General features: G+C 36.2%; 1 pseudogene, besides 1 other annotated feature; it reads right to left on the bottom strand.

The window, feature by feature from the left end:
* On the bottom strand, positions 555-3,032 carry ARF1P1 (ARF GTPase 1 pseudogene 1; annotated as a pseudogene).
* Positions 12,588-12,882: an enhancer, noted in NCBI's record as "tiled region #3394; HepG2 Activating DNase matched - State 9:DNaseU, and K562 Activating non-DNase unmatched - State 24:Quies". NCBI's record gives its function as "activates a minimal TATA promoter and a strong SV40 promoter by Sharpr-MPRA in HepG2 and K562 cells {active_cell/tissue: HepG2 | K562}" and the evidence as "EXISTENCE:reporter gene assay evidence [ECO:0000049][PMID:27701403]".

Genomic DNA, 26,431 nt, shown 5'->3' with positions numbered 1-26,431 from the left:
ATAGTGGCAGAACGGATTTTAAAAAACAGGATCAAATTCTGTGCTGTTTATAAGAGACTCATTTTAGACCAAAAGACATGGATAGGCTAAAATTGAAAGGATGGAAAAGATATTATAGTCACCAAAAAGGAGTAGAGGTTGTTATATTAATATTAGGTAAAATAGACTTTAAGTCAGAAATTCTTCAGACAAAAATGGTCATTTCATAATGATAGAAGTTTCAATACAGTAAGAAGATGTAACAATAAAATAAACATATATTCACCCAACATCAGTGTTCCAAAATATATGAAGCATGCATTGACTGAACTGAAGGGAAAAATAGCTCTTGAATAGTAGGAGATTTTAATATCTCACTTTCAATAGTAGATAGAACAACCAGATAGAAGATCTATAAGGAAATACAAGAATTGAACAACCCTATAGTCTAATGGGACCAAAAACAGCACAAAATAATTTTGCCAAGTACACATGGAACATTCTAAAGGATAAATCATATGTTAGGCCAAAAACCAAATCTTTATACACTTTCTAAAATTGATTGATTTATTTTTAATAGTTAAGAGGTTTTATTCTAATATCAATAATTACAATGCTTGTTTGTCTAAATGAAAACTGAAAACAAGTATACAAAACAGTTGATTCCTAATTGTGTACTGAAAACAGTAAAAGGTTCCACAACACCAGATAGACCAGTTCTGAGATTTTCCCCAAGACAAATTTCACAGCTCCAGCTTCTTTAGTGTTTATCAAAATACAAAATAAAAAAATCGAGGTCATCTTTTTTTCTTTTTCTTTTTCTTTTTTTTTGAGATAGAGTCTCAGTCACTCACTCTGTCACCCAGGCTGGAGTGCAGTGGCACGATCTCAGCTCACTGCAACCTCCGCCTCCTGGGTTCAAGAGATTTTCATGCCTCAGCCTCCTGAGAGCTGGGATTACAGGGACCCGCCACCACTCCTGGCTAATTTTCGTATTTTTGTAATTTTGTATTGTATTTTGCCATGTTGGTCAGGCTGGTCTTGAACTCCTGACCTCAGGTGATCCACCCACCTTGGCCTCCCAAAGTGCTGGGATTACAGGCATGAGCCCCCACACCCGGTCAAGGCTATCTTTTTTTTTTTGAGAGAGTCTCGCTCTGTCGCCCAGTCTGGAGTGTAGTGGTGTGATCTCACCTCACTGCAACCTCCACCTCCCAGGTTCAAGCAATTCTCTGCCTCAGCCCCCGAGGAGCTGGGATTACAGGCACCTGACACCATGCCCAGCTAATTTTTTTGTATTTTTTAGTAGAGACAGGGTTTCACCATGTTGGCCAGGCTGGTCTTGAACTCCTGACCTTGTGATCTGCCCGCCTCAGCCTCCTGAAGTGTTGGGATTACAGGCATGAGCCACCGCGCCCAGCGCAAGGCCGTCTTTTTTTATGGCAACTTGGATGCTTGCAGTCTGAGTGAGAGACAGGTAAGACATATATGGAGATGGGGTGCTCCTGAGGGGCTGTGGGTGTAGGTGCACAGTCCACTTGCCTTGCTCTCATTAACACTGATGAGGCCCCAGATATCCTACCAATGTGCCTCAACGAGCACAAGAGCTGAAGACCATGGGCCTGCTCTGGCCACATGCTGACCAAGGGATAGTAGGGCCCTACATCCTCTGAGGAGGCTGAGGCAGGCAGGTGGGTAGGGAGGTGGCCTGGGGGAGAATGAGACAGCCATGGGCTCTAAGACTAGCCCTCAAGAACCATGGGAGCACAGGGACAAGCACAAGGCTATGAGATGCAGGGTGATCTAAGGACAAGTGTGTCACAGACATCTCTATTGTGACCATGCAGAATTGATGGCAGTCTTGCTGTGCCACCACCTGATGTTCCTGAGGGGAATAGCCAAGCCGGTGACTAGCATCCAGGCCATAACTGCAAACCCATGCTAAGCAAAGTCTCTCTTTTGTGTGTTCAAGTGTTCTTGACGTTGATTCTAAACTATTTTTAAAAATGCACCGCGTTTGGGTTAAAAACCAACCACCAAAATGGGTATCAACACAGCTCTGAAGTTAGAGGCATCCCCAGCTCTCCCAAATTGGTGACTCTCAGAGGCCAGGTACCCATGAGCCTATGTCCCCTCTCAGCACTGAAGAATGAGTTGATTTTTCTTTTTACGGTAAAACAAACAAACAAAAAACCTGAGTAATATTGCATAGGAGTAGCAGAAACTGCCTCACTGGAAACAAGAACTATTTACATTAAATAAAAAGTCTGGCCACAGGCTATGTCTGTCACATTTACAGCACAGTATGATGCACATGGTGACCAAACCAGGGAAGCAGGTTCTGGCACTCACACCACAGAGCTGCACATTTGCCACATGAGGATAAAGTGAAGGGGAAGAGGAGCAATGAGAGCGAGAGGGTGTTGCATTCACTTCTGGTTCCAGAGTTGATTGGACAGCCAGTCCAGTCCTTCACAGAGCCTGTCTCCACTAATGGCATAGGTGGCCTAAATGCACCAGTTCCTGTGGCACAGGTAATGCAGCCCCAGCTTGTCTGTGATCTTGGCTGCATTCCTGGCATTGGGGAGGCCCTGCTTGTTGGCAAACACCAGGAGGACTGCACCCAGAGCTCATCCTCAGCCAGCATCCTAAAGAGCTCCTCCCAGGCCTCCTTTCCACACTTTCTATCATTGCTGTCCACTACGAAGATCAGTCCTTGTGTATTCTGGAAGTAGTGGTGCCACAGAGGCCAGATGTTTTCTTGGCTGCCCATGTTCCACATGGTTAAGCTGATGTTCCTGTACTCCATGGTTTCCACATTGAAGCCTATGGTAGGGATGGTGGTCATGATGTCACTCAGCTTCAGCTTATATAGGATTGTTGTTTTCCCTGCAGCACTGAGGACCACGATGAGGATGTGCATTTCTTTTTTGCCAAAAATGCTTTCGAAGAGGTTGACAAAGATGCTCCCCATGCTTGTGGACAGGTGGAAGGATGCTGGCCAGGGACATTTCGGTGACTGCTGCTCTGAGTTACATGTTGATTTTGCTCCCTAATACATTTTAAACATGAAAATCATGCAAAGTACCTTTTTCTATCACAATGGAATGAAGCAAGAGATCAATAGCAGAGGGAAAACTGGAAAATTCACGAATATGTGGAAATTATAAAACACTCTAAAATAACCAATGCATCAAAAAATTAATAGGCAGGGAAATCAGAAAATATTTTGTGACAAGTGAAAGTGAAAACATAGCACACCATAATTTATAGAATGCAGTGAAAGCAGCGCTGAGAGAAATATATAGTTACAAATGTTTACATTAAAAATGTCTCAAATCGACAATCTAGCTTTACACCCTTAAGAAACTAGGAAAAATTTTCAAATTAAATCCAAAGCTAGCAGAAAGAAGAAAATAATAGAGTAGAAATAGATAAAATAGAAAATAAGAAACAAAATTAATAAAACCAAGAGCTGGTTCTTTAAAAATATAAACAAAATTAAGAAACCTTTAGCTAGACTGACTACGAAAAAAACACGAGAAGACTAAAATTAGAAATGCGAGAGGGAATATTACTACTGAATTTACAGAATCAAAAAGAATTATAAAAATGTACTATGAACAAAAGTACTATGAATTTGTGTGCCAACACATTGGATAACCTACCCACTCCATATTCTTAGCACAATAGATTATAATTTATTTCCCCAAATATAAATAATGTCTTTTATGTTCTTTCTATATATATATGCTGTTCTTTTTCTTCGATCACCCTTTTGTTGCCTTCCTCATTCACAGAAGACCAACTAATTCTTCATATTTCAGCTAATATGGTGTTTTTCCCTGACAAATCCAAGTAGAATGAGTAATGAGGGAGAGAATGAAGATATACCATGGAGAAAATGGCCTGTAACTGAAGAAGGAAAGGCAAGGGTGTATGTAAATTTGAGCATGAATGGAGGTTGCCCATGAAGTCTTAGAAAAGTTAATTAGTTTTAACAGGGGAGAAAGATAGAAAAAGAAAATGGATGGAAATATAGAAATGGACGGATGAGGAACTTTTTCTTTGATACTTTGATTTTTTCAACATCGTCAATTTTTAAAAATTAGGCATGTGTTGGCATGGTGGGACATGCCTGTAGTCCCAGCTACTTGGGAGGCTGAGGTGGGAGGATTGCTTGAGTCCAGAAGGTCAAGGCTGCACTGAGCCCTGATGGTGCCACTGCTCTCCAGCCTGGGTGACAGAGAGAGATCTTGTCTCAAAAAACAAAAAATAAAAAAATAGGCATGTGGAATGGCACTTCTTTCAGATATATGTGCCCAAATGTCTAGAAACAACTGAGTCTCACAAAGTCCGGAGTTGCTTGTGGGTCTCTACCTCCACAACTTTTCACCATACGCTTGATAATAAGATATAAGAAAATGAGCAGTAAAACAATACCTTCATGTTAGTAATTCAGGGACGATGAAAAGGAAGAAATAAAATCTGGACTTTCGACATCTTCTTGACATTTAGGACAGACGTACTAGTAGAATTTTTCCTCTTTGGAGGGATGAAACAAAAACTTAGTCATGCTGAGTGAGTTCAAGCTTCTTGAATTGGGGGAGAAAAGCAAAAACAATGAAGCTGATACATCATCCCCTTGAATTTCTTTTATTAAAGTTTAGAGAATGCCTGTGACTAATTTCCTGGTCTTCACAGACTTAGCGCTGTCTACAGATCAAGCAGCAGAAATGAGGAAAGAGGTACAGGTGGTAAGTCTTGGAAGACAATGAGAAGGTAAATATTGTAGCTTCAAAGGAACTGCCTGTGTTCACAGTGGTGATAAAGCTCAGGGATGACTTCTCCCTACCCTGAGTTAAATGAGATGTGAGAGGAGAAAAAAAAGTCTCTACTTGGTAGAACAGTGGATGAAGCTAGAGAGAACTAGGTTTTAGTTAAGGCAGAGAAGTGAAGTGTACCTTTTAGAAAAATATTGATTCATTTTCAAATATTTATTAACATCTATTCTATTTGAGACCCTGATCTAGATAAATGGGTGATATATTTCTTCTCCTCTACAAACTTGCTACTGGAAAATGCATCACAATGAAAGTAAGTCTCAGACAAAATCCCAACAAACTTAAAAACATTTATTAACAAGCAGACACAAAAACAGTCATGTAACCTATTTGTGTAAGCTGGAGAGAAGTCCATATTCTTTGTTCTCAGGGTCTCTGATATGCAGATGCAATGATATCTGACAGTAGGAACTAGTTGGATCTGGAAATAATTGCCTATGGGGAGTAGAAAAGCAGGATTTCTCAAACTATTTGTTGTAATGATCAGGATTTTTAAAATTTCTACCCAATCATAGACCAATACTTTTGTAAAACATAATAGAAATAAAGTACTAGAAGTTTTTGACCTCTAGTAATGGTAAGGTGGCTATAGTGGACTAGTCTTCCTGATTACAACAAGTATAAACTTCGGACTAAATGTAAAAAGCAATTTTTGAATGCATTGGTGAGTGACCATTGAAAGAAGGGAGGCATACTAAGTGAAAACCACATTTGTTCTACTATTCTGCTGACCATAACTCCTAGTCTGTCTTGCACATGGGCAATGGAGCTTAAGCAGAAAGTTGCAGTTTTATTGAGCTGATGAGTTAAAAGTCAGGATTTGGGGGTGGCAGAAAAGCTGGAAATTGAATGGGATAGCTCAGAGAAGAACAGGGGACCTCCAAATTTGCATACAGTTTCAAATCCTTGGATGAAACCTGAAATTTGTACGGTCATAACAACACTTCTGGAGTGATACTTCCAATAGAAATAAAAAAATGGAAGCCTGAAAGAGCTGGTCAGAGATTTTGGAAATTTCCCAGTGCTGGAGAGACAGAGTTTGGAATTGTTCTATCATGTTAGAAGGATTCGGAAAACACCTTGATTTTTCCATTGAAACCACAGTCACCCTTAGGAATAAGGACCACATTCTAAACATAAGGTTTATACATTAGCACTAAGGGAAAAATGGAAACAGACCCTCCCTAACAAAGTCTAAAATCAAACTTCAACAGAATTAAGATGATCAGTCTTAATATAACTGCACGCGAGAATAGACCCCAGAACTTTTCAGAGGAAGATAAAATCTAGAATATCTATAGCATGTTCTATAATGTATACTTCAGAATTTAAAACTTACTAGTCTTTGGACACATAGTGAGAAGAAAAAATAATAGTCAATAGAAACAGACCCACAGAGGACCCAGATATTGAAACTAACAGAAGATTTTAAAGTAGGAATGTTACAGTTGTTTTAACAAATTTGCAGAGAAGGTGGATATAATAGACGAGGATACAGGATATCTTTGGAAATATATAAAATTCAAAAAGAATCAAGTGGAAATTAAAAATATAGTATCTGAAATAAAAACATAGCTGAATAAAACCAACCTTTTAAAAAATTCAAAGAAAAAAATCCATTTCCATAAAGATAGGTCAATAGAATTTTTCAAAGTGAAACAAAAAAGAAAAAAAAGAGAAAATTAAAGATCCTCAGTGACCCGTACTACCATATTACATAATAAACACATATAGTTTAAGTCCCAGAAAGAAAAAAGACAGAAAATAGAAACAAAAAGTTTCAAAGAGTAACTAACGTAACGTTTTTCCAATTAGTTTAAAACATCAACTCACAGATGCAAAAAGCTGACTAAGCATTAAACAGAATGAATGCAAAGAATGCTATACCTGGACACACCAAGAGTTAGAAAGTTTAAAGGCAGCCAAAGAAAAAGAGATACATTACATACACATTACAGTGATAGGAAATGGTTGGTTGGCTTCTCAAAAAAATGGAGACAAGAAGATAATGGAATGACGTCTTTAAAGAGCTAAAATAAATTTCAACATTTTGATATTTCTGATAATATTCTCTGTTATGAGGTCTATTTTGCCTGAAATTGCCATAACTACTCTAGATTTCTGATGTTTATTCTTTGCATGTTCTATCTTATGCCAACCTTTGGCTTTTAAATTACTTGGGTGTTCATAAGTAAAGCAAATTTAATATAGCATATACCATGTAATAATGGTAAGTGAGCAAATTCACCAAGAAGACATAAGAATATTAAATGTATATGCAATGAATATCAAAGTTTCAAAACATAAGAAGTAAAGAAATGACAACATTGAAAGGCAGAATACAGAAATCTATAATTTTGTTAGAAGTTTTAATACTCTCATTAACTGACTGAACAAGTAAATAGACAATCAAAGAGGATATAGAAGACAAACAATACTGTCAAACTTATTAGCATTCTCCCAAACAACGGCAGAACATATACTCTTCTTCATATACACATAGAAAATTCACCATGTGCTGGGCCACAAAACTTGAAGTTTCAGTGGATTTCTAAAGAAAGAAATCACACAGAGCATGTCTTCTGATCATAACAGAATTAAATTGAAAATCAGTAACAGAAAGATACATGGATAATTCCTAAATATGTGGAAATCAATACTCTTCAAAATGATTCATGAGTCAAAAAGGAAATCATAGGGTAATATTTTCAACTAAATGAAAATTTAAATATAACGTATTAAAAATTGGGAGGTACGATTAAAGTAGCATTTCTAAGTGATAGGTTTAATGTCAAGAAACTTATATTTCTTACCTTATGAAACCAGAAAAAGACAAGCAAATTAGTCATAATATGTAGACAAAAGGCAATAGTAGGCCAGACACAGTGGCTCACACCTGTAATCCCAGCACTTTGGGAGGCTTAGGCAGGCAGGTCACTTGAGGTCAGGAGTTCGAGACCAGCATGGCTAACATAGTGAAACCTCATCTCTACTAAAAACACAAAAATTAGTCAGGTGTGGTTGCGGGTGCCTGTAATCCCAGCTACTCAGGAGGCTGAGGCAGGTAAGTCACTTGAACCAGGGAGACAGAGGTTGTAGCGAGCCAAGATTGCGCCACTGCACTCCAGCCTGGGTGACAGAGGGACACTCTGTCTCAAAAAAAAAAAAAAAATACAATAGTAAAGCTCACAGCAGAAATCCATGAAATACAACACAGACAAATAATAGAGAAAGTAAAAGCAAAAGGTCTTTTTGAAAAGAACAATAAAATTGATAGAATTCTATTCATACTGATCTGAAAAAACAGAAAAAATTACCAATATTAGGAATGAAAGAGGGGACATTACCTGAATATATTACAGATATTTGAAGAATAATAAGGGAATAATACAAACAACTTTATGCCAATAAATTCATCAACTTAAATGGGTAAGTGCGTTGAAATACATAAAATATCAAATCTGACTTGAGAAGAAATAGACAATCTGATTGTCCTTGTACCTTCTAAATAAATTGAATTTGTGATAAGACCCTTCCCACAAAGAAAACGCCAGGCTCAGAGGGCTTCAATGGCAAATATAATTAATATTTAATGGAACAATAACTCTAATCCTAGAAATCTCTTTCAGAAAATAGAGGAGGGAGCTCTCATCAACTCATTTTATGAGGCTAGCATTGTTCTTGTACCAAAACCAGACAAAAACATTACAGGCAAACTACAGATCAATATTCTTCATAAACATAGTCACATATCCTTAATCCTTAACAAAAAAGCCCATTTTTGGTTGGATGGGATATTGGTTTGTCCAGTGATTATGTGTAGAACTCATATATGTCATCTCCCTATTGAGGCATTTATTGTTGATTTAAAGCTCTTTAAAACTGTAAGGGACATTATTCTTGAACTTGAGAATTGGTGAAAGATTCGTGTCCAATAGCCTGCTAGTTATACTCAATCCTCACTATTCATGGATTTTGTATTTGCAAATTTGCCTATTCAATAAAATTTATTTTTAACACTAAAATCAATACTTGTGGCATTTTCAGGATTATTCACAGACATACATGGAATGGTGAAAAATTTGAGTTGCCTGACATTCATGTTCAGAGCTGAGATCAAACAAGGTGAGGCTTTGCTTTCTTGTTTGGGCTCTCACACTGTCCTTTTCATTTAGTGCCATAGTTTTTGCTTTTTTATGATGTTTATTGGCGATTCTGCTGTTCAGAATCGCCCCTAAATGGCATAGTGTTGAAGTGCTGTCTACTATTCCTAAGCACAAGAAGGCTGTGATGTGCCTCGCGGAGAAAATGTACCATCAGATAAGCTTTGTTCAGGCATGAGTTATACTGTTATTAGCTGTGAGTTTAATGTTAATGTATCAACAACATACAAGAACGCATGAAACAAGATGATGTGATCTGAGAGACCACAATAGGTACCCCCTTATCAACTAAGATAAACCCTAAAGTTAAGGTTATGAAAACAAAGTTACTTATGAGTCAAGGATTCAGGGCCCAGCTGGAATGGCAAATTTCTAAATTCCTATGGCTCTAAATTCCCTACAGTAGGACCTGTTGGACCCCTTCTAACTCTGCTTTGCAACCCAGACCACTACAACTCTGGTTGGACAGACGACCAACCTTACAAACATTCTTTTCTAATAAGCAATTGCAGATCTCAAGCCAGTTTTAGCCAGCTTATAGCAGCTGTGCACAAACTGTCTTTGTATCCTATAGTTCATTTTTGATGTAAAGAGCCAACTTCCATCTCATTTTAATGCTAAAATCCTGCCCCCAAATGAACATGGGATGTATGTTACACATATGTTTACCCATTGCACATGCACTTGACTCCCCTCATAAATACCTATAGCTTTACCCTAAAATCTGCTTACTATATATGACTCTAGTGTGTGAAACAGGCCCTGTGAGGAATAAAACCTAGCCTTTTCCCCCGTCTTTGTAGAGAGAGCACTTTCTGCACACACCAGTGATGATCTCTTCCTGGTTTGCAAACTGATACTTCCAATAATACTCTCCTTTCTATTATTTAGTCATTCTGGTGGTCTTTTGGATGACAGTTGGGTATTAATCAGTTGACAAAAATGTTGTGACCAGATGCTAGCAGGAACCTAAACTTGTGTTTCCCCTAGGAACAATTGTTCAGTATTTGCTAATGTGGTAATTCACAGTGGCTTTATAGAACATGAATACTGTAAATAATGAGAATCAAATTTATTTCTTCTGAGAATCCTTTCATGTCTCACACAAAACATGCTTGGGAAAAAAAAGCTAACACACTTCTCAGCTGATAAAAATACTCCTCATTTTTTTACATTGGACTTGTTTCTTATATTCAATAAGGTTGTCAACAAAAAGAGTCAAGCTCTGTAAAATTTTTGAAGACATTTATTTTGAGCCTACTGTGAGTGACTAATGGCCCATGACACAGCCCCACATCCTGAGAACATGTACCCAAGGTGGTTGGTTTTGTACATTTTAGGGAGACATAAGACATCAATCAATACATGTAAGATGAACATTGGTTTGGTCCAGAAAGGCAGAGAAACTCGAAGCAAGTACTTCCAGGTCATAGGTAGGCTGAAAGATTTTTTGATTGGCAGTTGGTTGAAAGAGTTTATCTAATGACCAGGAATGAATGGAAGGGAGTGTCTGGGTTAAGACAAGGGGTTGTGGAGACCAAGGTCCTTATTACGCAGATGAAGCCTCCAGGTAGCAGGCTTCAGAGAGAAGATTGTAAATGTTTCTTATCAGACATAAAAAGATGCCAAACAGTTAATTCTCTAAGGGAAGGGGATTCTCTACAGAATATAGATTTTCCCCACAAGAGACAACTTTGTGGGGCCATTTCAAAATATGTCAAATAAATATATTTTGGGATGAAATATTTCAATTTCTTTCAGAGCTTGCTATCTGTCATTGTTGATATCTTCTTGCTACAAAGAATCTGATTTGTTAGTCTTAAGGTCTGTTTGAATGTTAATGCTGATCAGCCATGCCTGAAATCCAAAGGAGGAAGGTAAAATGAGGCATATCTGACACTCCCTTTCCCATCAGGGCCTGAATAGTGTTTCAAGTTTACTTTAGAATGCCTTTGGCTGAGAAGAGGGGTCCATTCAGTTGATTGAGGGGGTTAGAATTTTATTTTCATTTACAGGTGCATAAAATAATCTTAAATGAAGAGTTAATTGATTTTATTAATACATGTATACACTTGTGAAACTACCAACTAGATGAAGACATAGAAAATTCCATAATTTTTTCTCATATCCCTTCCTAGATAATATCCTCACCTTGATAAGCATTTTTCTGACATATATCACCATCTATCCATTTTATAAGTTTTTTGAACTGCGTGCAAATGGAATCACACTGCATGTAGCCTTTTGTGTCTGGCATCTTTTCTTCGATATGATATCTGTATAACAATAGTTTATTCTTTATATATCATTATGTAATATTTTACCATATAAATTTTTCACAATATATTTACTCACTGATAGACATTTGTGTTACTTCCAGTTTTAGTTTATTATAAACAAAATTGCTTCAGACATTCTTGTGCATGAATTTTCATGGACATATGCAGTTATTTTTCATGAGTAAATATCTGTGGCTAGAACTGTTAGACGATAGGATAGATAGAGTTTTATTTTTATAAGACATTGCCAGTTTTCTTAAATGGTTATAGCAGCTTGCCTCTCATCAGCAATGTATGAGTCCAGTGCTCCACATCTCACCAACATTTGGTATAGTCTTTTTATATTTTAGCCATTCTATTGAGTGTGAAATGTTATGTTGTGGTTTTAATTTGCATTTCCTTGATGACTAATAATATTGGCTATTTAATGATACTGATAAATTAATTTCCTGTTTTCTTGTGCTTTGTTTAAGAAATATTTGCTTACCCCAATGTTATGAAGGTATTCTCCCATGATATAGTCCAAAAACTTTATCTTTTAAATTTAGGTCCATGGTCCTATAGGGGATCAGAATATGCCATCATAAAATATGCCTCTTTGGCATAAAAATTTTTTTGAGCTAAATATTTTCAGAAACTATAGTCACAGTACAAACTCTGAAAACAGAGTAGATGTTATCCTTTTGTAAGGGAAATTAACATCTATAAAGGAAATGAAGATTTCTTTGTAAGAGTGTCTCCTCTCTGTATGAGGAAGAGAAAAATGACTGCATCACTAGAGACTTATTAATAAAGAAAGTACTCACTTAAATCTGCATAACAAACCTTACCTTGCTTACCAAGCTTTTATTGAATACCTTTCCATAACTGGCCTTCCCCCACAAGCTTCTTGCTTTATTTCAGTGAGGATGGTATTTAAGTCTGAATTCCAAGCCACTTCTTTGAGACTTACAGTAGTCCCCCTATCCATGGGGGATACATTCCAAGACCCCCAGTGGATGTCTGAAACCATGGGTAATACCGAAGACCATATACACTGTTTCTTCCTATACATACATATCCATGATAAAGTTTAACTCATAAATGAGGCAATAAAATATTAGCAGCAATGACTAATGAAACAGAACAATTATAACAAGATACTGTTCACAATTTTACAGACAGAAGATTCATTCTTACTGTAGATCTTAGCAACTTCAGCATACAATTTTTTTTCTTTCATTAAGTCAATAACTTTCACCTTTTCACTTATACAAGGCACTTTATGGCTTTCCTGTGGCATATCTGAATTGCCAGCATCACTACTCTTGCAATTTGGGGTTATGATTGAGTGAAATAAGGGTCACTTGAGCACAAGCACTGTGAAACCATGACAGTTGATCTGATAACCAAGATGGTGCTACTAAGAGACTAATGTGTGGATAGTGAAGGCCATTTGGATATGGGAGACAAAGGGATGACTCACTTCCCAGGCATGCTGGAGGAGGATGTCTGGCAATTTCATCACACTACTTAGAAAGGTGTGCAACTTGAAACTTATGAATTGTTTCATTTCTGGAAATTTCCATTTAATATTTTCAGACCATGGTAGACTATGGCTAATTGAAACTTCAGAAAGGGAAACCACAGATAAAGGAGGACAACTGTATTCATTTGTCTGGGTATCTCCAACATATACATAAGGTTTATGTGTTATTAAACTTCTGCTTGTTTTTCTCTTGTTAATCTGTCTTTTGTTAAAGGAGTCTGTCAGACCAAAAACTACCATGAAGTGTAGAGACAAAATTATTTTTCCTTTCTTACCATCCATTCTAAATTATATTTTAAGTATGCTATCAGCAGGGTTAATTCCTTCCTTTCTCCATATGGCTATCCAATTGGTCCAGCAATATTATTGGAAAGACAATTTATTTGCTTTTGAAATTGAAGTGAAATTAATTAGTCTTAATTTGTCATACATACATGCTTTTATCCTATACTTTTCTGTTCCATTGAACTCTTTGTCTATTCTTTGCACTAAAACTATACTGCTTAATTCTTACAGCTTTATAGTAAGTCTTAAAATCTGTACTATATGTCCTATACATTTGTCATTTTCAAAATTTTCTTGAATATCCTAGATCTTTGTGGTTCTGTATACATTTAAATCAACTTTCTAATTCCCTCTGTGAATTTTCTTCTGGCATTTGGATTGCAACTGTGTTAAATATGTAGGTAATTTTTCTAATAACTACGATCTTTAAAAAGTCTAAATAAATATCTGTGAATATTTATTTAGATATTAAAAAAATCTAGATAGTATTTATGGAGCTATAGAGAAATTTTAAAATGTTTTTGTATTTTAGGGATTTGTATGGTTAGGGCTTTCTGAAGCAAAGAAAACAAAACCTGAGCTAAAAAACAAGCCTTGTCAGTTAAATAATAATTGAATCAATAATGAGAATTCAAGAGACTTACCTTCACAGAGGTATGTATTTTCATTTCAAGGGATTGAGTCCTGGGCCATGGAGATAAAACCCCTGGTTATAAATACATAGATGCTCGTTTTATCTTCCCCCAAAGACATTTATTTACATTTCAAAAGGTAAAAGCTCAGGATCTTTCCCTTTCTCTTTTTGAGGAATATTGACATTAAGGAGCAAAGGCTTTCATTCCCACCCTAAATAGGAAAAGCTGGACAGCTGTCCCTGTCCTGTATAAGCTACGGAATTTTTAAAGCTTATAGCCAATAATATAGACTCTAATACTGATTTGCTTTACTCTTTTCACATCTTCCTCGAAGAAAAAGTAATTGGGACAAATGGGTTCATGTGGTTATTGCTATGAGCAGAAAGAGTACACCCTCTGTATCCAAGAGTTCCAAATCTATGTATTCAGCCAATGGCAGATCAAAAATATTTTTTAAAAAAGCATCTTTATTGAACATGCACAGAATTGTTTCTTGTCATTATTACCTAATAGTATAATAACTATTTATATAGCATTTACATTTTAGTAGGTATTATAAGTAATCTATTAATGACTTATATGGGAGGATGTGCATGGGTGATAAGCAAATACTATACTATTTTATGGGCATCTATGAATTTTTATTTCCACAAGTAGTCCTGGAACCAGTAGTCTATGCATATCAAAAAATGACTGTAATAATCAGTTCCTGCCCTAGAAAGCCCATGCCTAATTTCAGGCAAAATGAATAAATATAGATCCTTATAAGTATTTTATATTTTTTAGTAAAGAGAATTTGCACATCTTTCAATAAATTATATCTGAGTTTTAAAAATTCTAATATATTATTTGTAAATTTATTTTTCCAATAGTTTTTTGCTATTTTATAAGAAGGAATATATTTTCTATTTTGCTATTAAAGTATGTAGAAATACAGTTGATTTTTGTACTTTAACTTGTATCCATCAATCTTACCAAATTCAGTATCTAATTCAATGGTTTCTTTGTAGATTATTTGAGAGCTTTCTATGTACAAAAACATATGGTTCAATCTCTTTTTCTTTTTTTTATTGACTAATTCTAACACCCTATCAGTTAGAATTATGTTGATATTAAGTTGATCTTTTTCTAGGTTTTAGGGAGAAAACATTCAAAATTCCTCATTAAGTATAATGATAGAAATCGTTTTTTTGTAAATACACTTTGTCAAATTATGGAAGTGCTATTGTATTCGTGCACTGTATTCCTCGCTTACTGAGAAATTGATTTTTTTAAACATAAATGCAAATTTAATTATTTAAAATGCTATTCATTCCATCTATTGAAATGATCATTTAAAAATTTATTCTGTTAATGTGGTAAATTACATTGTTTTTATTCTCACATGTTAAACTAATCTTACATTCATAAAATTTAAAAAATATATTGTATATATGTTAATATATGTGATTTTATATAAATAGGTTAATATTTGTGGTTATATATGATTCACTTCATTAATAATATATATGTAGCTAATGTTTAGGGAAAATATTGCTTATAATATTATTTTCTTAAGGTTCTTGTTAGAATATGGTAATTTGATATCAGAGTTATGTTGGATGCACAGAACAGATTGGGAGGCTTTCCTTTTGCTCTTTTGTGTTAAAGAGTTTGGATAAGGATTTCCCGGGCGAGATGGCTGAATAGGAACAGCTCCAGTCTGCAGCTCCCAGCAAGACCAATGCAGGAGGTGGGTGATTTCTTCATTTCCAACTGAGGATCACAACTCCTCGCCAGCAAGGGAACAAAATTGGATGGAGAATGAGTTTGACAAATTGACAGAAGTAGGCTTCAGAAGGTGGGTAATAACAAACTCCTCCGAGTTAAAGGAGCATGTTCTTATCCAATGCAAAGAAGCTAAGAACCTTGATAAAAGGTTAGAGGAATTTCTAACTAGAATAACCAGTTTAGAGAAGAATGTAAATGACTTGATGAAGCTGAAAAATACAGCATGAGAACTTCGTGATGCATACACAAGTATCAATAGCCAAATCAATCAAGCAGAAGAAAGGATATCAGAGACTGAAGATCAACTTAATGAAATAAAGCACGAAGACAAGATTAGAGAAAAAAGAATGCAAAGGAACTAACAAAGCCTCCAAGAAATATGGGACTATGTGAAAAGACCAAACTTATGTTTGACTGGTGTACCTGAAAGTGACAGGGAGAATGGAACCAAGTTGGAAAACACACTTCAGGGTATTATCCAGGACAACTTCCCCAACCTAGCAATACAGGCCAACATTCAAATTCAGGAAATACAGAGAACACCACAAAGATACTCCTCGAGAAGGGCAACCCCAAGACTCATAATCATCAGATTCACCAAGGTTGAAGTAAAGGAAAACATTTTGAGGGCAGCCAGAGAGAAAGGTCTAGTTACCCACATAGGAAAGACCATCAGACAAACAGTGGATCTCTCAGCAGAAACCCTACAAGCCAAAAGGTAGTGGGGGCCAATATTCAACATTCTTAAAGAAAAGAATTTTCAACCCAGAGTTTCATATCCAGCCAAGCTAAACTTCGTAAGTGAAGGAGAAATAAAACGCTTCATAGACAAGCAAATGCTGAGAGATTTTGTCACCACCAGGCCTGCCTTACAAGAGCTCCTGCACTAACTAGGGAAAAGAAAAACCAGTACCAGCATCTGGAAAAACAAACCAAAATGTAAAGACCATCGACACTATGAAGAAACTACATCAACTAATGGGCGAAATAACCAGCTAGCATCATAATGACAGGATTAAATTCACACATAATAATATTAACCTTAATTGTAAATGGGCTAAAGGCCCCAATTAAAAGGCACAGGCTGGCAAATTGGATAAAGAGTCAAGATTCATCAGTGTCCTGTATTCAGGGGACCCATCTCACGTGCAAAGACACACATAGGCTCAAAATAAAGGGAGGTAGGAATATTTACCAAGCAAATGGAAAGCAAAGAAACAAAAAAAAAGAGCAGGAATTGCAATCCTAGTCTCCAATAAAACAAACTTCAAAGCAACAAAGATCAAAAAAGACAAAGAAGGCCATTACATAATGGTAAAGGGATCAATGCAACAAGAAGAGCTAACTATCCTAAATATATATGCACCCAACACAGGAGCACCCAGATTCATAAAGCAAGTTCTTAGAAACCCACAAAGAGACTTAGACTCCCACACAATAATAATGGGAGACTTTAACACCCCACTGTCAATATTAGATGAACAAGACAGAAAATTAACAAGGATATTCAGGATTTGAACTCAGCTCTGGACAAAGCCGACCTAATAGATATCTGTAGAAGATCGGTCAGGGTGGTGGGAAAAATTATAAGGAAAGACACAAACCTTCTTGGAAGGCCAGGAGATTTTGCAAAAGCTTTGGGAGAGAAGCTGAAGGCAGCTGATTCTGTTATCTGGAAGCTGAGAGCAAAGGGTAGATAACAAGGGAATGTAAAGGAACTTATGTAGATAAATTGGTTTAGTTATGTCTCCAGAAACCAACCTTTGATCATGCACGCACAGGGCTGCTCTCTATTCGGGGGGGGGGGGGCGGTCAACAATGTTAATTAACCACAAATTGTGTTTCCTCCAAGCCTTTGTCATTAAATCTGGACTAAATAAATGCAAGTGTTGCCAGCTTATCGAGGCTGCACTCTTGTCAGTGGTGCTAAGCCATGCGGTCCCCTAGCCACACTGTCAGGCACAATACCCATGTCACTGTCAGCAGACTTCTGTCATTGTTTGCTCTGGCAGAGTCTGCCGGACAGACTCAGCAGACATCTACAGAAATCTCCACCCCAAATCAACAGAATATACATTCTTCTCAGCACCACATTGCACTTATTCTAAAATCGACCACATAATTGGAAGTAAAACACTCCTCAGCAAATGCAAAAGGAAGGCAATTATAACAGTCTCTCAGACCACAGTGCAATCAAATTAGAGCTCAGGATTAAGAAACTTACTCAAAACTGCACAACTACATGAAAACTGAACAACCTACTCCTTAATTACTACTGGGTAAATAATGAAATTCAGGCAGAAATAAATAAGTTCTTTGAAACCAGTGAGAACAAAGACACAACATACCAGAATCTCTGGGGCACAGTTAAAGCAGTGTTTAGAGGGAAATTCATAGCACTAAATGCCCACAGGAGAAAGTGGGAAATAACTAAAATCAACACCCTAACATCACAATTAAAAGAACTAGAGAAGCAAGAGCAAACAAATTGAAAAGCTGGCAGAAGACAAGAAATAACTAAGATCAGAGCAGAGTTGAAGGAGATAGAGACACAAAAAACCCTTCAAAAAAATCAATGAATCCAAGAGCTGGTTTTTTAAAAAAGATTAGCAAGATAGATAGACCGCTAGCCAGACTAATAAAGAAGAAAAGAGAAGAATCAAATAGACACAATAAAAAATGATAAAGGGGAGATCACCACTGATCCCACAGAAATACAAACTACCCACAGAGAATACTATAAACACCTCTATGCAAATAAACTAGAAAATTTAGAAGAATTGGATAAATTCCTGAACACATACACCCTCCCAAGACTAACCCAAGAAAGAAGTCCAATTCCTGAATAGACCAATAACAAGTCTGAAATTGAGGCGGTACTTAATAGCCTACCAAATAAATAAAGTCCAGAACCAGACGGATTCAGAGCTGAATTCTACCAGAGGTACAAAGAGGAGCTGGTACCATTCCTTCCAAAACTATTCCAAACAATAGAAAAAGAGGGACTCCTCCCAAACTCATTTTATGAGGCCAGCATCATCCTGATACCAAAGCCTGGCAGAGACACAACAAAAAAAGAAAATTTCAGGCCAATATTCCTGATGAACATTGATGCAAAAAATCCTCAATAAAATACTGGCAAACCAAATCCAGCAGCACATCAAAAAGCTTATCTACCATGATCAAGTCGGCTTCACCTCTGGGATGCAAGGCTAGTTCAACATATTCAAATCAATAAATGTAATCCATCACATAAACAGAACCAATGACAAAAACCACATGATAATCTCAATAGACGCAAAAAAGGCCTTCGATAAAATTCAACACACCTTCATTCTAAAATCTCTCAATAAGCTAGGTATTGATGGAACTTATCTCAAAATAACAAGAGCTATTTATGACAAAACCACAGCCAGTATCATACTGAATGAGCAAAAGCTGGAAGCATTCCCTTAGAAAACTGACACAAGACAAGGATGCCCTCTCTCATCACTCCTATTCAACACAGTATTGGAAGTTCTGGCCAGGGCAATCAGGCAAGAGAAAGAAATAAAGCATATTCAGATAGGAAGAGAGGAAGTCAAATTGTCTCTGTTTGCAGATGACATGGTTGTATATTTAGAAAACCCCATCGTCTCAGCCTAAAAACTCCTTAAGCTGATAAGCAACTTCAGCAAAGTCTCAGGATAAAAATATCAATGTGCAAAAATGACAAGCATTCCTATACACCAATAATAGACAAACAGAGAACTAAATCATGACCAAATTCCCATTCCCATTTGCTACAAAGAGAATAAAATACCTAGGAACACAACTTACAAGGGATGTGAAGGACCTCTTCAAGGAGAACTACAAACCACTGCTCAACGAAATAAAAGAAGACACAAACAAATGGAAGAACATTCCATGCTCGTAGATAGGAAGAATCAAGACTGTGAAAATGGCCATACTACCCAAAGTAATCTATAGATTCAATGCTATTCTCCTCAAGCTCCCACTGACATTCTTCGCAGAATTAGAAAAAAACTACTTTAAATTTCATATGGAACCAAAAAGAGCCTATATAGGCAAGACAATCCTAAGCAAAAAGAACAAAGCTGGAGGCATCATGCTACCTGACTTCAAACTATATGACAAAGCTACAGTAACCAAAATAGCATGGTACCAAAACCATGCTACCAAAACTGGTACCAAAACAGATATATAGACCAATGGAACAGAACAGAGGCCTCAGAAATAACACCACACATCTACAATCATCTGTTTTTTGACAAGCCTGATGAAAACAAGCAATGGAGAAAGGATTCCCTATTTAATAAATGGTGCTGGGAAAACTCACTAGCCACATGCAGAAAACTGAAACTGAACCCCTTACTTACACCTTATACAAAAATTAACTCAAGATGGATTAAAGATTTAAATGTAAGACCTAAAACCATAAAAATCCTAGAAGAAAACCTAGGCAATACCATTCAGGACATAGGCAAGGGAAAAGACTTCATGACTGAAACACCAAAAGCAATGGCAACAAAAGCCAAAATTGACAAATGGGATCTAATTAAACTAAAGAGCTTCTGCACAGCAAAAGAAACTATAATCAGAGTGAACAGGCAGCCTACAGCATGGGAGAAAATTTTTGCAATCTATCCATCTGACAAAGGGCTAATATCCAGAATCCACAAAGAACTTAAACAGATTTACAAGAAAAAAACAAACAACCCCATCAAGAAATGGGCAAAGGATATGAACAGACACTTTTTGAAAGAAGACATTTATGTGGGCAAGAAACATGAAAAAAGCTCATCATCACTGGTCATTAGAGAAATGCAAATCAAAACCACAATGAGATACCATCTCATGCCAGTTAGAGTGGTGATCATTAAAAAGTCAGGAAACAACAGATATTGGAGAGGCTGTGGAGAAATACAAACACTTTTACACTGTTGGTTGGAGTGTAAATTCGTTCAACCATTGTGGAAGACAGTGTGGTGATTCCTCAAGGATGTAGAACTAGAAATACCATTTAACCCAGCAATCCCATTACTGGATATATTCCCAAAGGATTATAAATAATTCTACTATAAAGACACATGCACATGTTTGTTTATTATGGCACTATTCACAATAGCAAAGACTTGGAACCAACCCAAATGCCCATCAGTGTTAGACTGGATAAAGAAAATGTGGCACATATACACCATGGAATACTATGCAGCCATAAAAAAGCTGAGTTCATGTTCTTTGCAGGGACATGAATGAAACTGGAAACCATCATTCTCAGCAAACTAACACAGGGACAGAAAACCAAACACCACATGCTCTCATTGGTAAGTGGGAGTTGAACAATGGGAACATATGGGCACAGGGAGGGAAACATCACACACTGGGGCCTCTCAGGGGGTGGGTGGAAAGGGGAGGTGTAGCATGAGGAGAAATACCTAATGTAGATGACGGGTTGATGGGTGCAGCAAACCACCATGGCACATGTATACCTATGTAACAAACTTACACATTCTGCACATGTATCCCAGAATGTAAAGTATAATAAAAAGAAAAAAGAAAAAAGAAGAGTTTGGATAAGACTCGTATGATTTCTTCCTTAAATGTTTGAAAAAATTTGCTTGTCAAGTCACCATGGCCTGAAGTTTTCATTGTGGAAAGAATTATATTACACTTACAGAAAAAGGATGATTCATATTTTCTATTTCTTTTGGTATTCGTTAAGTTTTTAAAGGAATTTTGTTACTTTATGCAATCCACTAAATTTATAATTATTCTATAATTTTCTAATAAATGCATTTAGAATGGTTCCCTTTTAATTGTGATTGCATTTTTTCCATTTTTGATAGTGTAACCTGTATTTTATCATTTTTAACAATTTCTAGATCAGTCTTAGAAGGGGTTATCAATTTTAAAACATTTCCCAAGAACTAACTTTATTTCTATGGATTACTTCTATTGTACGCCTGCTTTTTAATTTACTTTTATTCTTGTCTTCATTATTTTCTTTTTTTTAAAGTTTTTTTTCGGTTTAATTTGCTCTTCTTTTTCTGTTTTCTTGAGAATGGAAACAGTTTTTTCCACTTTTCATTTTTCTAATATATGAATATAAAGTAAACAATTTCCCTTTCAGTACTTAATTGTATTCCTCAAATTTTGACACCTAGTATATTTTTTCCCAAGTAAAATGCCAGAATGTAGACACATCATAGTTTTTATTGAGTTTGAGGTGTTTTCTAATTTTCATTGTGATTACTTTCTTACTTATTGAGTTGCTTAGAAATGTGTTGTTTAATATCCATATATTTAGGGAATTTTCTATTTCTGCTGTAGATTTTTAATTTAATACTGTATAATTTCTTTTTTTGTAATTTATGAAGACATGCATGGTCCAATGTATGATCTATTTTCAGTAACATTTCTTGTGCACTTGAAAATTATGTATTCTGTATTTGTTGGATGTAGTAATCCCAACATGTCATTTAGGTCACATTGGTTAATAGTATTATTCAAATCTTCTACATTCTTACTGATTTTTTTTGGTCTGTTTGTTGTAATAATTGCTGAAAGAGTTGTGTTAGTATCTTTTACTGTGATCCACAAAGGTTTACCTATTATTTCTCTCTTGATTTTGTCCATTTTTATTTTGTATGTTTTGAAACTGTGGTTAGGTGGAAATAAAATTACAATTTTTTTTGCTTCCTGGTGAATTGGTTCTTTAATAATGAGATGTACATCTTTAACTCTAGAAATGCTATCTACATCATAGTTTACTTTGCCTTATACTGAATTAATATAGTTATACCAGGTTTCTCTTGGTTAATATTTGCATGGTATATATTTTTGTACTCTTATACTTTCAGCATATCAATTTTTATACTTTTAAGTGTGTTTATTGTGAATAGAATATATTTGGGCCATTTAAAAAAATCTGTCTTACTGTCTTCTTTTGATTGTAGTGCTTACATGCAATGTAGTTACTGGTGTAGTTGGATTAAATCTACCATGTCAGCTTGGTAAGGCTACTGTAACAAAATATTTAGACTGGGTAATTTATATAAAACAGAAATTTGTTTTTTATATTAGTTATTTATTTATACTAGTTACTGAGGCCAGAAAGTCCATGATCAAGGTTCCAGCAGATTTGGTGTCTGGTGCTCTTTACTCTTTGTTTTATAGATGTCACCTCTTGCTATGTCCTCACATGATTGAAGGGCCAAGCACACTACCTCAAGCCCTTTATAACGGTATAAATGCCATTCACGAGAGTGGAACTCTCATTAAATTACATCCTAGGCCAGGCACAGTGACTCATGCCTGTAATCCCAACACTTTGAGAGGCCGAGGCAGATAGATCACCTGAGGTCAGCCTGCCCAACATGGTGAAACCCAATCTCTACTAAATACAAAAAATTAGCCAGGCATGGTGACCAGTGCCTGTAATCCCAGCTACTCAGGAGGCTGAGGGAGGAGAGCCTCTTGAACCTGGGAGGTGGAGGTTGCAGCGAGCCAAGATTGCACCATTGCACACTAGCCTGTGCGACAGAGCAAGACTCCGTAAAGGTCCACCTTTTGATATACTGCTTTGAGGATTAAGGTTCAGCATAAATTTTGGATGAACAGAAACATTCAAACCATCTTATTGCTTGTTTTTAATATTTGTTTCATTTATTATTGTTCCAATTTTTTCCTGCCTTTCTGTTGGATTAAACAAGTTGTTGTTGTTGTTGTTGTTGTTTGAGACAGAGTCTCTGTTGCCCAGGCTGGAGTGCAGTGGCACCATCTCGGTTCACTGCAACCTCCACCTCCCAGGTTCAAGCGATTCTCCTGCCTCAGCCTCCCAAGTAGCTGGGACTACAAGTGCCTGCCACCATGCCCTACTAATTTTTGTATTTTTAGTAGAGACAGCATTTCGCCAAGTTGGCCAGGCTGGCCTCAAACTCCTGACATCAGGTGATCTGCCCACCTCAGCTTCCCAAAGTGCTGGGATTACAGGTGTGAGCCACCGTACCTGGCCAGATTAAACAAGTATTTTAAAAATTACTGTTTTGTCTTTTGTAGCTTTTTAGATATATTCTTTGTATTATTCTTTGAGGGATTATGTTATCGGGTATAGTAATCTTTGACTTATTCCAGACTACATTGTTAATAATTTTACCATTTTATGAGCAATTTAGAAACCTTTTGTAACTTATTTTTGTAAAGAAAAAAGAAAAGGGGGGAAAAAACCTTTCCACAGCTTAACTACATTTACCAATCTCCTGCCCTTCATGCTATTACCATTGTATATTTCACTTCTACATTTGTTATAAACTCTGTAAGACATTGATGTTGTTCCTGATTTAAATACTTTTTAAAAATTCATATTTACCCACATACTTACCTTTTCTTCATTTCTTTCTGCACTTCTATGCTTCCATCTGGTATCAGTTTATTTTAGCCTGGATAATTTATTTTAGTATTTCTTTTTAAAAGATTTGTAAAAATATTATGGGGCATACATGAATTTTTTTACATGTATATTATTCAGAGTGATCAAGTCAGGGTTTCTAGGGTGTCTATCACCCGAGTACAATACATTTTTGTTAATACAGGCGTCCTGTTATCAAACATTGAATATAAGCCTCTGTTAACAAACATTGAATTTATTCCTTCTATCTTACTGTATGTTCATACACTCTAACCCACTTCTCTTCATTCTCTCCTCCTCCCTCAAATCATCCTTCCCAGTCCCTGTTATCTACCTTTTCATTCTCTACCTCCATGTGATAAAATTTGTTACTTCTCACATATAAGTGAGAACACATGATATTTGTCTTGTTTTGCTTGGCCTGTTTCATTTAAGATAATGAACTCCAGTTCCATCCAGGTCGGTGCAAATGAAATGAAGTCATTCTTTTTTATGGCCAAATAGTATTACATTGTGTATATATACCACATTTTCTTTATCCGTTCATCAGTTGATGGACATTTTGGTTGATTCCATATCTTTGCTATTGTGAATAGTGCTGTAATAAACATGTCACTGTAGGTATCACCTTGCAATATTGACTTCTTTTCCTTTGGGTAAATACCCAGTAGTGGGATTGCTGGATTGATAATTCTATTTTTAGTTTTTTGAGAAACTCCCACACTATTTTCCATAGTGACCATACTACTTTACATTCCCAACAACAGTGTATAAGAGTTTCTTTTTCTCCACATCCTCAGCAACATCTGTTAAGTCTTTTTAATAATAGCTATTCTCACTGAGTAAGAGGATATCTCATCATGGTTTTGATTTGCATTTCTTTGATGATTAGTGATGTTGGGCATTTTTTCATATACTTATTGGCCATTTGCATGTATTCTTTTGAGAAATGTCTATTCATGTCCTTTGCCTACTTTTTAATAGGATTATTTGTTTTTTCCTGTTGAGTTGCTTGAGTTCCTTGTATAATCTGGATATAGCCCTCTGTTGGATGAGTAATATGCAAATATTTTCTCCCATTCAATAGGCTGTCTCTTCACTCTGTTGACTATTTCTTTCATTGTGCATGAGCTTTTTAGTTTAATATAGTCCCATTTATCTATTTCTAGTTGTGTTGCTTTTACTTTTGGGTCTTAGTCATACATTTTTTGCCTAGACCAATGTCCTGGAATGTTTTTTGTAGGTTTTCTTTTAGTACTTTCATGGCTTTGGGCCCTACATTTAAGTCTTTAACCCACCTTTAGTTGAATTTTGTATATGGTGAGAGATAGGGGTCCAACTTCATTCTTATGCATGTGGCTATCTAATTTTCCCAGCAGCATTTGTTGAAGAGGGTGTCCTTTCTTCAATGTAGGTTTTTGTCAGCTTTGTCAAAGATCAGTTGTGTTAAATATGTGACTTTATTTCTGGGTTCTCTAAGCTGTTGCATTGGTCTATGTGGTCTATCTTTGTACTAAGACTGTGATGTTTTGGTTACTATGGCCTTGTAATATATTCTGAAGCTAAGTAATGTAATGCTTTCAGCTTTCCCCCCTGCCCTGCCTCCCCAGGATTGCTTTGGATATTCAGGCTCTTTTTTGGTTCCATATGATAAATTTTTTCTAATTTATTACTTATTTAAAAAGAATTGCTTTTCCCTAAATATTCAAATAATGACATTAGTATTTCAGTAGGGATTGCACTGAATCTGTAGGTTGCTGTAGGCATTATGGTCATTTAAACAATATTGATTCTTCCAATCCATGAGCATAGAATGTTTTTCCATTTGTTTGTGTCCTCTTCAATTTTTTTCATTAGAGTTTTGTAGTTTTCCTTGTAGAGATCTTTCACCTTCTTGGTTAAATTCATTCCCATGTATTTTATTTTTTAGGTAGTTATTGTAAATGGGATTGCCTTTTGATTTGATTATCTATTTGATTGTTATTGGTGTATAGAAACACTACTGATTTTTGTACACTGATTGTCCTGCATCTTTACTAAATTCATTTATCAAATGTGAGAGTTTTTGGGTGGACTCTTTAGGTTTTCCAAATCATCAACAAAGAGGGACAATTTGACTTCCTCTTTTCCAGTTTGGATGCCTTTTATTTCATTCTTTTGCTTGATTTCTCTGGCTAGGACTTCCAGTACTATGTTGAATAGGAGTGGGGAAAGTGGGCGTCTTGTCTTGTTCCAGTTTTTAGAGGAAGGAATTTCAACTTTCCCACATTCACTATGATGTCAGCTGCGGGTTTGTCATATAAAGGCTTTATTATTTTGAGGTATGTTCGTTCTCTGTCTAGTTTAGTGAGAAGTTTTTTTTTTAATCATGAAGGAATGTTGATGTGACAGTTAGTATTAAGTGTCAACTTAATTGGACTGAAGGATGCCTAGATGTTTGGTAAAGTAATGTTTCTGAGTGTGTGTCTGTGAGGGTGTTTCCAGAGGAGACTGACACTTGAGTCAGTGGACTGGGAGAGGAAGCCCCACTCTCAATTT

This window comes from Homo sapiens, chromosome 7, assembly GCF_000001405.40.
Source record: "Homo sapiens chromosome 7, GRCh38.p14 Primary Assembly".
Classification (NCBI taxonomy): Eukaryota; Metazoa; Chordata; class Mammalia; order Primates; family Hominidae; genus Homo; species Homo sapiens.
Note: the sequence above shows the minus strand (reverse complement) of the source record. Positions and strands in the feature narration are given on the sequence as shown.